At 43.4% G+C, this 13,503-nt stretch overlaps 1 protein-coding gene across 9 annotated transcripts in view, besides 2 other annotated features; it reads left to right on the forward strand.

Moving 5' to 3' along the window:
- Positions 1-13,503, forward strand: part of N4BP2 (NEDD4 binding protein 2) — a 133,621-nt gene that overhangs the window by 6,501 nt on the left and 113,617 nt on the right. For 4 of the 9 annotated variants that reach the window (NM_001318359.2, NM_018177.6, XM_047415954.1 and 1 more), the window contains one exon: positions 10,105-10,201. The exons of 3 other annotated variants lie outside the window; for them this stretch is intronic. The gene's annotated coding sequence lies outside the window, so the exon portion shown is untranslated. Of the gene's footprint in view, positions 1-10,104; positions 10,202-13,503 lie in introns of those variants that run through there. 2 more of the 9 variants (XM_047415957.1, XM_047415956.1) reach the window with 2 other exon arrangements.
- Positions 5,205-5,706: an enhancer, noted in NCBI's record as "H3K4me1 hESC enhancer chr4:40070175-40070676 (GRCh37/hg19 assembly coordinates)". NCBI's record gives its function as "activates a minimal SCP1, AML or CMV promoter by ChIP-STARR-seq in primed H9 embryonic stem cells {active_cell/tissue: H9 hESC(primed)}" and the evidence as "EXISTENCE:reporter gene assay evidence [ECO:0000049][PMID:30033119]".
- Positions 5,707-6,206: an enhancer, noted in NCBI's record as "H3K4me1 hESC enhancer chr4:40070677-40071176 (GRCh37/hg19 assembly coordinates)". NCBI's record gives its function as "activates a minimal SCP1, AML or CMV promoter by ChIP-STARR-seq in primed H9 embryonic stem cells {active_cell/tissue: H9 hESC(primed)}" and the evidence as "EXISTENCE:reporter gene assay evidence [ECO:0000049][PMID:30033119]".

Below are 13,503 nucleotides of genomic sequence, written 5' to 3' on the forward strand. Positions count from 1 at the left end.
ACTGGCTTTATTCCTTTTACTGAAAATATGTTTCTTCACATGGTAAACCTGTTTCATGGCAGCACAGGGGTATCAACTAGAACCTTGACCAAATCTAGTGTTTGAAGGGATGAAGTACTATGCTTAGTTCATTCTAGGTTGTGATATGCTCACTTACATGGCCAGGGATCTGTTAGCAAAAAGCAGAGCAGACCTTGAGTAGGGGAGAGGACGGAGTTCTGGGCAGACATAAAGAATATCCACTTTAATTCTTTATCGTTTTATTGATTTATTTATTTTTAATTAAATTAATTAATTAATTAATTTTTTTGAGACGGAGTTTTGCTCTTGTTGCCCAGGCTGGAGTGCAATGGTGTGATCTCGGCTTACTACAACCTCCACCTCCCGTGTTCAAGCGATTCTCCTGTCTCAGCCTCCCGAGTAGCTGGGATTACAGGTGTGCATCACCACACCTAGCTAATTTTTTGTCTTTTTAGTAGAGACAGGGTTTCACCATGTTGGCCAGGTTGGTCTTGAACTCCTGACCTCAGATGATCCTCCTGCATCAGCCTCCCAAAGTGCTGGGATTACAGGTGTGAGCCACCGTGCTGGCCAATTTTATTTATTTATTTAGAGAGATTGGTGGGGCGGCAGGGGGGGGTCTCACTATGTTGCCTAGGCTGGTCTCGAACTCCTGAGCTCAAGTGATCCTCCTGCTTCAGCCTCCCAAGGTGCTGGGACCACATGTGAACCACTATGCCTGGCCTCATCCACTGTAATTCTTAACCACCTTTCTGATTATGAATTTATTTTCATTGGTACTTTATTTGTGGTAAAGAGATGCCCTGTACTATGGACCTGTGTATTCCAGGTACGAAAATGGTAAGTCCAACATTTTAAAGAAGTTGGCCTTTTGGCTTATGCTAGCTTATAACAAGTACTTATTTATTGATTGATTTATTTGAGACAGAGTCTCGCTCTGTTGTCCAGGCTGGAGTGCAATGGTGTGATCTTGACTCACTGCAACCTCTGCCTCTTGGGTTCAAGTGATTCTCCTGCCTCAGCCTCCTGAGTAGCTGGGACTGTAAGCGCGCACCACCACGCCTGGCTAATTTTTGTATTTTTAGTAGAGACGGGGTTTTGCCATGTTGGTCAGGCTGGTCTCAAACTCCCGACCTTGTGATCCGCCTGCCTCGGCCTCCCAAAGTGCTGGGGTTACAGGCGTGAGCCACCGCGCCCGGCAATAACAAGTATTTATTGAGCTCTTGTTTGCTAAATAAAACACTTATCTGCAAGATGCTTACAGACTAGTAGTCTCAACAAGTAAATACAAAGGTGCTAAGATAGATGTCTAGGGTGCATTGGGAGCTGTGGCTAAATCATGCTTTGAGATAGTGGGAAACTTTCCTAAAGAAAAGTAAATTGAACCAATAAATATGGGTTGGGTGTGATGGGGTAGAGATGGAGTCTTGCTCTGTTGCCCAGGCTGGAGTGCAGTGGTGTGATCTCGGCTCACTGCAACCTCCGCCTCCCAGGTTCAAGCGATTCTCCTGCCTCAGCCTCCTGTACTCAGGAGGATTACAGGTATGCACCACCACACTCGCTAAGTTTTGTATTTTTAGTAGAGATGGGGTTTTACCATGTTGCCCAGACTGGTCTCGAACTCCTGACCTCCTGATCTGCCCACCTCAGCCTCCCAAAGTGTTGGGATTACAAGCGTGAGCCACTGTGCCCGGCTGGGGTTAGAGGGACTTTCAGGCAGAGAATGTATAAGGCACAGAGCTGTGAAATGGGCTACCTTGTGTGGGAAACAAATAACTAGGTACAGGTGGATTAGAGTGGAAGAAGAGGAGGCCAAAGGTAGATAAGGGATCACGTCATAGAAGTCCTTGAGTGCTTTATCACAGAGTTGGAACTTGATCTTGAAAGCTATAGAGAGTCATTGAAGGAAATTTAAGCTGGACCTCTCAGGTTTGAAGTGCCCATGGAATATTCAAGTGGATATGTCTGTCAAACAATTAACTATATTGGGGTTTGGGAGAAAATTATTGACTGGAGTCACACAGGCATTGAAGCCATGGGTTTGAATGGACCTAGAAGAGGTAAATCGAACAAAAGATTAGGAACAGAACCTTAGCGAGCAATGACACTGAAAAAAGTGAGCAGAAGGCAGAAAGTCCATGACAGAGACCAAGAAGGGCCAGACAGAAAAAAACCAGTAAATGCTGCTTGGGATGGGAGGGTGGATTGTATTGGGTCAAGGAGTCAACAGAAAAAAGTTGAAACAACAAATATAAACTACTTTCATTTTAAGAAACTGAAACCGTATAGGAAATAATAGGAGTTTTGTTAGTCTGATCATTATCAATTCTGTGTGCACAGAGAAAATAAAATTTTTAGACAGTTCTTCCAATGCAGGGATTTGAATTTTTTAGCATTTTTAAGGTCAGGTAGGAGCAGATGGAGGCTTTTTTGGCAGTGTTTGGGAGGTAAGAAGTGGTTGACCGGGGGCATGGATATGATACATGCGCAGTTACTGGGGAGTACAAGTATCTAGTAGAGTATTTTGCACATAGTTTCTGGACCTATAAAGATCCAGTAAAGCATTTTTTTTTTTCTTGAGATGGAGTCTAGATCTGTCGACAGGCTGGAGTGCAGTGGCGTGATCTCGGCTCACTGCAACCTCTGCCTCCTGGGTTCAAGCGATTCTCCTGCCTCAGTCTCCTGAGTAGCTGGGACTACAGGCACACGCCACCACACCCAGCTAATTTTTGTATTTTTAGTAGAGATGGGGTTTCACCGTGTTGGCCAGGATGGTGTCAATCCCTTGACCTTGTGATCCACCTGCCTCAGCCTCCCAGTGTGTTGGGATTACAGGTGTGAGCCACCGTGCCCGGCCCATTTTTTTCAGGGGACCCAGAGTTAATTATTGATTATGTAGTTGTAATTAAATTTAGTTCATTTCTCAGGATTTCTATTTGTGATTTTCCCTTTTTTTTTTTTTTTTGAGACAGTGTCTCACTTTGTTGCTCAGGCTGAAGTGCAGTGGCATGATCTCGGCTCATTGCAGCCTCTGCCTCCCAGGTTCAAGCAATTCTCTTGCCTCAGTCTCCCAAGTACCTGGGACTACAGGCATGTGCCACCACACACAGCTAATTTTTGTATTTTTTATTAGAGATGAGGTTACACTATGTTGGCCAGGCTGGTCTTGAACTCCTGACCTCAAGTGATCCACCTGCCTTGGCCTCCCAAAGTGCTGGGATTACAGGTGTGAGCCACCGTGCCTAGCCCTGGTCTGTTTTTGAGTCTATCTCTCTTGAGTGAACATTCTCTTTCTCTGCTAAATCACCTTGTCTCAGTTTTTTTCTTTGTAGTTAAGCTACTCATAGTTTTTTTAGTTGGGGAAAAAAGTACAACGTATTTACTATCTTAACCACTTTTAAGAGTACAGAACAGTAGTGTTAACTATGCACATTGTTGTGCAGTTTTTTTCATCTTGCCAAACTGAAACTCTGTACCCAGTGAACCCATTTTCTCCTTCCTAGCCATTGGCAACCACGATTCTACTTTCTGTGTCTAGAGTTTGACTACTTGTAGATACCGCATATAAGTAGAAACATGCAGCTTTTTGTCATTGTTATTGCTGTTTTTGGGGTGACTGGCTTATTTCACTTAGCATAATGTCCTCAAGATTCTTCCATGTTGCAGCATATGACCTAATTTCCTTTTTTTTTTTTTTTTTTTTTGAGACAGGGTCTTGCTCTGTCACCCAGGCTGGAGTGCAGTGGTGTGATCATGGCTCACTGCAGCCTTGACCTCCCCAGACTCAAGCCATCCTCCCACCTCAGCCTTCTGAGTAGCTGGAACCACAGGTGTGCACCACCACACCTAGATAATTTTTGTAGACATGAGGTTTTGCCATGTTGCCCGGGCTGATCTTGAACTCCTGGGCTCAAGTGATCAGTTAGTTAGCCTTGGCCTTCCAAAATGCTGGGATTACATGCATGAGCTACTGTGCCTGGCCTCCTTTTTTTTTTTTTTAAGGCTGAATAATATTCCATTGTATGTATGTACCACATTTTTTTTTTTATCCATTCACTTGTTGATGGACATTTAGGTTGCTTCCACCTCTTGACTATTGTGAATAACGCTGTGATAAACATGCATGTGCAAGTATCTCTTGGAGATCCTGTTATTAATTATTTTGGATATGTACCCTGAAGTGGAATTGCTGGATCATATGATAATTCTGTTTTTAATTTTTTGAGGAACTGCCATACCCTTTGCTTAGTAGCTGAGCCATTGTACGTTCCTACCAGTAGTACACAAGGGTTCCAGTTTCTCTACATCTTCACCAACATTTTTATTTTTTATTTTTTTATTTTTTGAGACAGAGTCTCACTCCGTCACCCAGGGTGGAGTACAGTGGCATGATGTTGGCTCACTGTAACCTCTGCGTCCCAGGTTCAAGTGATTCTCCTGTCTCAGCCTCCCGAGTAGCTGAGACTACAGGCTAATTCTTGTAGTTTTAGTAGAGATGGCGTTTTACCATGTTGGCCAGGCTGGTCTTGAACCCCTGACCTCAGGTAATCCACCTGCCTTGACTTCCTAAAGTGCTGGGATTACAGGCATGAGCCACTGCACCTGGCCTGTTTTTTAACTCATTTGTTGATAGTGGCCATCTCAATAGGTGTAAGGTGATATCTATCTCATTGTGGTTTTAATTTGTATTTCTCTGATTAGTGATAAGTATCTTTTCATATACTTGTTGGCCATGTGTATATCTTCTTTGGAGAAACATTTGTGCAAGTCCTTTGCCCACTTTTAAATTGGGTTATTTGGATTTTGTTTGTTGAGTTGTAGGAGTTCTTTATGTATTCTAGATATTACCAACTTATCAGATGTATGGTTTGCAAATATTTTCTCTCATTCCGTAGGTTGCCTTATTATTCTGTTGATTGTTTCCTTTGTGACACAGAATTCTTTAAGTTTGATGTCCATTTTGTCTATTTTTGCTTTTGTTGCCTATGCCTTTGGTGTCGTCTTCAAGAAATCATTGCCAAATCCGATGTCATGAAGCTTTCTCCCCGTTTTCTTCTACGAGTTTTAAGTTTAAGGTCTTAGATTTAGGTCTTTAGTCCATTTTGAGTTACCTTTTGTATTCAATGTAACATAAGATTCTAGCTTCATTCTTTTGCATGTGGGTACCCAGTTTTTCCTATATCATTTGTTGAAGAGACTCTCCTTTTCCCATTGTGTGGCCTTGGTACCCTTGTTGAAGATCATTTGATCACATATGTGAGTATTTATTTCTGGGCTTTCTATTCCATTCCATTAGTCTTATGTCTATCTTTAAGCCCTACCATACTGTGTTGATTACTGTAGCTCTGTAATGTAAGGTGTTTTGAAATAGGAAGTATGAGGCCTCCAGTTTTGTTTTTCTTTCTCAAGTTTGTTTTAACTATTTGGGATCCTTCTCATAATTTTTATCCTTTAAAAAATTCCCAGGCTGGGCACAGTGGCTCACGCCTGTAATCTCAGCACTTTGGGAGACCGAGGCAGGTGGATCACTTGAGGTCAGGGGTTCAAGACCAGCCTGGCCAACATGGTGAAACCCCTGTCTCTACTAAAAATACAAAAATTAGCCGGGCATGGTGGCGGGCGCCTGTAATCCTAGCTCCTCGGGAGGCTGAGGCAGGAGAATCGCTTGAACCTGGGAGGCAGATGTTGCAGTGAGCCGGGATCGCGCCACTGCACTCCACTGAGTGACAGAGCGAGACTCCATCTCAAAAACAAACAAAAACAAAAAACAACAAAAAAATTCCCAGCCGGGCACAGTGACTCATGCCTGTAATGCCAGCCCTTTGGGAGGCCGAGGCGGGCACATCACTTGAGGTCAGGAGTTCAAGACCAGCCTGGCCAACATGGTGAAACTCCGTTTCTACAAAAAAATGCAAAAATTAGCTGGGCTTAGTTGTTCTTGCCTGTAATCCCAGCTACTCGGAGGCTGAGGCAGGAGAATCACTTGAACCTGGGAGGTGGAGCCAAGATTGCACCACTGCACGAAAGAGTGAGACTGTTTTAAAAAAAAATTCCCTTTCATTTTTTTCCCTTCCTTTCATTTTAAACTCACTTACAGCGTGGTTGAATTTTTCTTTTTTCTTCTCGACATGTAAGGACAGATAACCTATACATAACCTTTGAAATATGGAGTGTGCCCTGCTTTATAAAAACTTGGCATTTTTGAATTACATGTTTCATGTTAAGAGTTGATATTTGAATTAAAAAAGGATTTTGGCCAGGCACAGTTGCCCATTCCTGTATTCCCAGCACTGTGGGAGGCTGAGGGGAGAGGATTGCTTGAAGCCAGGAGTTGGAGACCAGTGTGGGCAGCAAAGCGAGACCCTGTCTCTACAAAACAAAATAAAAGAAGCAACAACAAAAAATAAGCCAGGTGGAATGGTGCATGCATGTGGTCCCAGCTTTGGGAAGCTGATGCAGGAGTATTGCTTGAGCCCAGGAGTTCAAAGCTGTAGTGTTGTACCACTGCACTCCAGCCTGGGTGGCAGAGTGAGACCCTGTCTCTTAAAAAAACAAAAAACAAACACAACCCCCAAAAACTCTTTCTTTGCTTTGTAGAGGTATTCTTTTAGTGGATTAAATATGGTTTTATCTTTTCAAACATCTTAGAAGCAAACTAGTTTGCTTGAAGCATGGTACATTTTAAAAACTTTCATTAGGAAAATAGAGATATAGAAAAGTAGTATGATACATTGAAACCACAGGTACCCACCTGCTTGATTCAACAATTGTTACCATTTTGCCATATTTGTTTTATCTACATATATAAATTTCCTGAACCATTTAAAAGTAAACTAAGAGGGGCAAATAAGTTTTTTTCAGTTTTCCCTTTTAAGTATCATATGATTGTATTATAAATGTATGTATTTTGGACTTTGACATTTAAAGATTTAGATTGATATTTGCTCTTTTAAAAGATTATATAAGAAGACGTATATCTTCAGATCTCGCCAAGGAAAAGGAGGACATTCTCCCTATATAGCCATAAAACCATTATCATTTCTAGCAAAATTACCAGTAATTCCCTAGTATTATACTACTTTTTGATTTTTTTTTGAGACAGGGTCTTGCTCTGTTGCCCAGACTAGAGTACAGCAGCACATTCATGGCTTACTGCAGCCTTGACCTCCCAGGCTCAAGCCATTCTCCTGCCTCAGCCTCCTGGAGTGGCTGGGGGCTACAGGCACATACCACCATGACTGGCTAATTTTTGTATTTTTTGTAGAGATGTGGTCTTGCCATGTTGCCCAGGCTGGTCTTAAACTTGTAGTCTCAAGTGATCCTCCTGCCTTGGCCTCGCAAAGTGCTGGGATTACAGGCATGTGACCTGATTCCCTGATACATGCTACTTATACTATATTCAGATTTCCTGAGTTGTTCCAAAAATGTTTTTGATTGCTGTGTGGTGTTTTTTTTTCTTCTTTTTTTTTTTGAGAGGAAGTCTTGCTCTATCACCCAGGCTGGAGTGCAGTGGCGTGATCTTCGCTCACTGCAACCTCCTTCTCCTGAGTTCATGCAGTTCTCTTGCCTCAGCCTCCTAAATAGCTGGGATTACAGGTGTCCGCCACCATGCCTGGCTAATTTTTGTATTTTTAGTGGAGACGGGGTTTCACCATGTTGGCCAGGCTGGTGTTTTTTTTTTAAATGCCAGATTTCAGTCAAGAACTACCCGTTGCATTTGGGTTGTAATCTTGAGTCTTTTTAAATATATAGGTAGAACTGTCTCTTCTACCCATCCACCTCCTTCTCTACTCTGCCTCTCCTTCCCTACTCTGCCTCTCCTTCCCTGTGGTATTGACCTGTTAGGTCTGTTGAGACGATTACATTTTGTATTGCTGCTTGTTTCCTCATGGTGTAGTATTACTTCTTCCTCTATCCCCTATATTTATTTCCTGTAAACTGGGAGTTAGATCTAAAGGTGTGAGTAGACTTAGGTTAAACAGTTTTGGAAGAGTATCTCATTTAGTAATGCTGTGTACTTCCTACTGTTTCTAGTTAAGAGGCATATAATGTCAGGTCCCACTATTTTGATGCTGTATTTGATCACCAAGCTAATGTGGTGAGAACCTGATCATTTCATTATAAAGTTATGGTTTTCTTTTTGCTTCTAGCAAGTAGTAATCTATAGGGTGGTACTTTGACATCAGGTAAATTTTTTATTTTTTATTTTTTTGAGACGGAGTTTTGCTCTTGTTGCCCAGGCTGGAGTGCAATGGTGCGATCTCGGCTCACTGCAACCTCTGTCTCTTGGGTTCAGGTGATTCTCCTGCCTCAGCCTCCCGAGTAGCTGGGACTACAGGCTCTCGCCACCACGCCCAGCTAATTATGTATTTTTAGTAGAGACGAAGTTTCGCCATATTGGCCAGGCTGGTCTTGAACTCCTGACCTCAGGTGATCCTCCTGCCTTGGCCTCCCAAAGTGCTGGGATTATAGGTGTGAGCCACTGCCCCCGGCCTCAAATTTCTTTTTTTAAAAAACATTTTTATTTTATTTTATTTTATTTTTTGACTTTTTGGAGACAGAGACTCACTCTGTCACCCAGGCTGGAGTGCAGTGGCACAATCTCAGCTCACTGCAACCTCTGCCTCCCGGGTTCAAGCGATTCTCATGCGTCAGCCTCCTGAGTAAGCTGGGACTACAAGCATTTGCCACTATGCCTGGCTAATTTTTTTTTTCTTTTTTGAGATGGAGTCTCCTTCTGTCACCCAAGCTGGAGTGCGGTGGCACAATCTCAGCTCACTGCAATCTCCGCCTTCCGGGTTCAAGTGATTCTTGTGCGTCAGCCTCCTGAGTAAGCTGAGACTACAGGCGTGTGCCACTATGCCTGGCTAATTTTTTTTTTTTTTTTTTTTTTGATATGGAGTCTCACTTTGTCGCCAGGCTGGAGTTCAGTGGCGTGATCTTGGCTCACTGCAACCTTCGACTCCCTGGTTCAAGCAATTCTCCTGCCTCAGCCTCCTGAGTAGCTGGGATTATAGGCACGTGCCACCATGCCCAGCTAATTTTTGTATTTTTAGTAGAGATGGGGTTTCGCCATGTTTGCCAGGATGGTCTTGATCTCCTGACCTCGTGATCCACCCACCTCGGCCTCCCAACGTGCTGGGATTACAGGCGTGAGCCACCGCGCTCGGCCCACCTGGCTAATTTTTGTAATTTTAGTAGAGATGAGGTTTCATCACGTTGCCCTGGCTGGTCTCCAACTCCTGAGCTCAGGCAATCCCTCCCTGTACCCCCCCAGGCCTCCCAAAGTAATAGGACTACACTCGTGAGCTACCACTCCCGGCCCCAGATAAATTTCTTTCTTTTATTTTTGTGGGACTTTTTTTTTTTTTTGGGACAGAGCCTCTCTCTGTTGCCCACGCTGGACTGCAATGGTGCCATCTCGGCTCACTGCAATCTCTGCCTCCCAGGTGATTCTCCTGTCTCAGCCTCCCTCCTGAGTAGCTGGGATTACAGGTGTGCACCACCATGCCCAGCTAATTTTTATTTTTAGCAGAGACGGGGTCTCACCATGTTGGCCAGGCTGGTCTCAAACTCCTGACCTCAAGTAATCCACCCACCTTGGCCTCCAAAGTGTTGGGATTACAGGTGTGAGCCACCGCACCTGGCCAGGTCAATTTCTTTACCAACTTTTCACCTAATGATTTTAGCATTCATTGATGATTCTTGATTAGCTATTTAATTATTGGTTAAAAAATGGTAATTAGTTTTGGGTTCTGTTGTTCCTTATACATTTAGTAGCTAGCCACCTTCTATAAAGATAAGGTTTCTCTCATCAACTAAGGCTATTTTGTTACCTGGAATTAGTGTTCTACTTAAAGGCAGAATAGATGCTTAGTTACTTTCTTTTATACAGACTTTTTCAGAGTGCAATAGTCACCTCCAGTGGCAATAAGTGCAGTCTTTCTTGTCTTTTCTCTTTTGTCACTTTCTTTTTGGAATATCATATATATTATAAATATTATAGACATTTTTGACTTTGATTTCTTTTGTGATTATAGTTTGATGTGAATTTGACTTTAATATATAACTTTCCTTTCATAGTAAGAAGACATGTTGGATAACAAGAAGAGGTGTAGAGTTTGCATATATCAACTGTGGCCTTAATGAGCATGTTGACAGCATCGATGCTAGACAGACAGTAAGTGTTATTAAAGTTGTAGAGTATGAATATTTTACACATAAGATTTTTTTTTTTTTTTAAATTGAGTCTTGCTGTATCACCTAAGCTGAAGTACAGTGGCGCAATCTTGACTCACTTCAGCCTCAAACTGCTAGGCTCAAGCGATTCTCTCACCTCAGCCTCCCGAGTAGCTGGGACTACAGGTGCATGCCACCACACCCAGCTAATTTTTGTATTTTTTGGTAGAGATGGTTTTTGTTTTTGTTTTGTTTTTTTGAGGTGGAGTTTCATTCTTGTTGCCCAGGCTGTAGTGCAATGGCATGATCTCAGCTCACTGCAACCTCTGCTTCCCAGGTTTAAGCGATTCTCCTGCCTCAGCCTCCCAAGTAGCTGGGATTACAGGCGCATGCCACCACATCCAGCTAATTTTTTATTTTTAGTAGAGACAAGTTTTCTCCATGTTGGTCAGGCTGGTCTCAAACTCCCAACCTCAGGTGATCCGCCCGCCTCAGCCTCCCAAAGTACTGGGATTACAGGCGTGAGCCACCGAGCCCTGCTTGTTTTTGCTTTTTTTTGAGATGGAGTGTTGCTCTATTGCTCAGGCTGGAGTGCAGTGGCACGATCTTGGCTCACTGCAACTTCCGTCTCCTGGGTTCATGCAACTCTTCTGCCTCAGCCTCCCAAGTAGCTGGGATTACAGATGTGTGCCACCATGCCCAGCTAATTTTTGTATTTTTAGTAGCGATGGGGTTTCACATATTGGTCAGGCTAGTCTCTTAACCCTTGACCTCAAGTGATCCACCCACTTTGACCTCCCAAAGTGCTGGAATTACAGGCGTGAGCCACCGTGTCTGGCCCAGAGATGGCGTTTTGTCATGTTGCCCAGGCTGGTCTCAAACTCCTTGGCTCAAGTGATCCGCCTGCCTCGGCCTCCCAAAGTGCTGGGACAACAGGTGTGAGCCACCACGCCTGGCCTACACAGGTTTCTAAGCTTTTACTTATATATTTGAGGGACTAAAAAAACACCTCATGAGAAGGAAAATATAATCACAGATTTTGTTACTAGAATTTTCAAAAGAGCTTTCGTGGTATAAGACATGTTGACTGAGGAAGCATAAAGAACTGAATTGTGGTGTTAGTTTTTCTATTTAATGAGTGTTTTCGTTTCTCTGCTTCTTAAAGGCCAGTCTTGGCTGGGCATGGTGCCTCACGCCTGTAATCCCAGCACTTTGGGAGGCTGTGGCAGGCAGATCACTTGAGGCCAGGAGTTTGAGACCAGCCTGGCTAACATGGCAAAACTCCGTCTCCACTAAAAATACAAAAATTAGTGGGACATGTTGGCATGCACCTATAATCCCAGCTACTTGGGAGGCTGAGACATGAGAATTGCTTGAGCCTGGGAGGCAGAGGCTGCAGTGAGCTGAGCTCTTGCCACTGCACTCCAGCCTGGGCGACAGAGTGAGACTCTGTAAAGAAAAAAAAAAAAGTAAATAAATAAAAAATAGGCCAATCTTGCTTCTTCATATTTTACATATTGTTAGCCATCCATAAATATTTGTGCACCTGTTTTATGTGTGGTACTATGCATAGTACCATTTTGGCGTATATATCATGATCCATGTTCTCAAGAAACATTATTAGTTGTAGATATAAACACATATAGATGGAAATTAATAAGTCAGTAATACCGACTGACTCTAAATTAAGCAAGACTAGTACTGCAATAAGTAGTTAAGGATTATAGACAGTATTGATGTATTATACAGAAATACACTTGGAATTAAAGGTATATATTTTTCAGCAACTGGCTTTAACATTTAACAACATGTCTCAGAGGTCTATCCAGTTTTTACACAGCTTTTCTTTTATTTATTTATTTTTTTGAGATGGAGTCTCACTCTGTCGCCTAGGCTGGAGTGCAGTGGCGCGATCTTAGCTCACTGCAACCTCTGCCTCCCAGTTAAAGTGATTCTTCTGCCTCAGCCTCCTCAGTAGCTGGGACTACAGGTGCATGCCACCATGCCTGGCTAATTTTTGTATTTTTAGTAGAGATGGGGTTTCACCATATTGGCCAGGCTGGTCTGGAACTCCTGACCTTATGATTCGCCTGCCTCGGCTTCCCAAAGTGCTGGGGTTACAGGCATGAGCCACTGTGCCAGGCCTACACATCTTATTTCTATATTCCACCAACTTTTTTTTATTACTGCATAGTATTCCAAAGGATGAGTTCTGCCATAATTTATACTGTTTTCCTAAGTGTTTAGGATGTTATAACAGATAGATACATATTTCTTTTTTTGTTTGTTTGTTTGAGACAGGGTTTTGCTTTGTTGCCCAGGCTGGAGTGCAGTGCTTTGATTACTGCCTACTGCAGCCTTGGCCTCTCAGGCCCAAACAATCCTCCTACCTCAGTCTCCTGAGCAGCTGGGACTACAGGCATGTACCACCAGGCCTAGCTAATTTTAAATTTTTCACAGAGATGTGTTCTCCCTATGTTGCCCGGGCTTGTATTGAACTCCTGCGCTTAAGCAATCCTCCTCCTTTGGCTTCCCAAAGTGCTGGAATTAGAGGTGTGAGCCATCATGCCTGCCCCTGATAGATATATTTAAAGATGATTGGTTACTTTAATTTGGTTACATTTTCTATAAAAAGTATTTTTTGGCCAGGTGCGGTGGCTCCTGCCTGTAATCCCAGTACTTAGAGACACTGAGGCAGGAGGATCACTTGAGGTCAAGAGTTCGAGGCCAGCCTGGCCATCATGGTGAAACTCTGTCTCTACTAAAAGTACAAAAATTAGCCAGGCGTGGTGGTGCACACCTGTGGTCCCAGCTATTCGGGAGGCTGAGGTAGGAAAATCACTTGAACCTGGGAGGCAGAGGTAGCATTGAGCTCAGATCCTGTCACTGCACTCTAGCTTAGGTGACAGAGGGAGACTTTGTGTCAAAAAAAACCCAAAAATATCTTTTTTTTTTTTGAGACTGAGTCTTGCTCTGTCACCCAGGCTGGGCGCAGTGGCGCCATCTCGGCTCACTGCAAGCTCCGCCTCCTGGGTTCATGCCATTCTCCTGCCTCAGCCTCCCGAGTAGCTGGGACTACAGGCTCCCGCCACCACGCCTGGCTAATTTTTTGTATTTTTAGTAGAGACAGGGTTTCACCATGTTAGCCAGGATGGTCTCAATCTCCTGACCTTGTGGTCCGCCCGCCTTGGGCTCCCAAAGTGCTGGGATTACAGGTGTGAGCCACCACACCCGGCCCAAAAATATCTTTTTTAGTGACATACTTTTGGTATCTCATGAGATTTTAGCATCTACCTTTTTCTT

This window comes from Homo sapiens, chromosome 4, assembly GCF_000001405.40.
Source record: "Homo sapiens chromosome 4, GRCh38.p14 Primary Assembly".
Taxonomy (NCBI): Eukaryota; Metazoa; Chordata; class Mammalia; order Primates; family Hominidae; genus Homo; species Homo sapiens.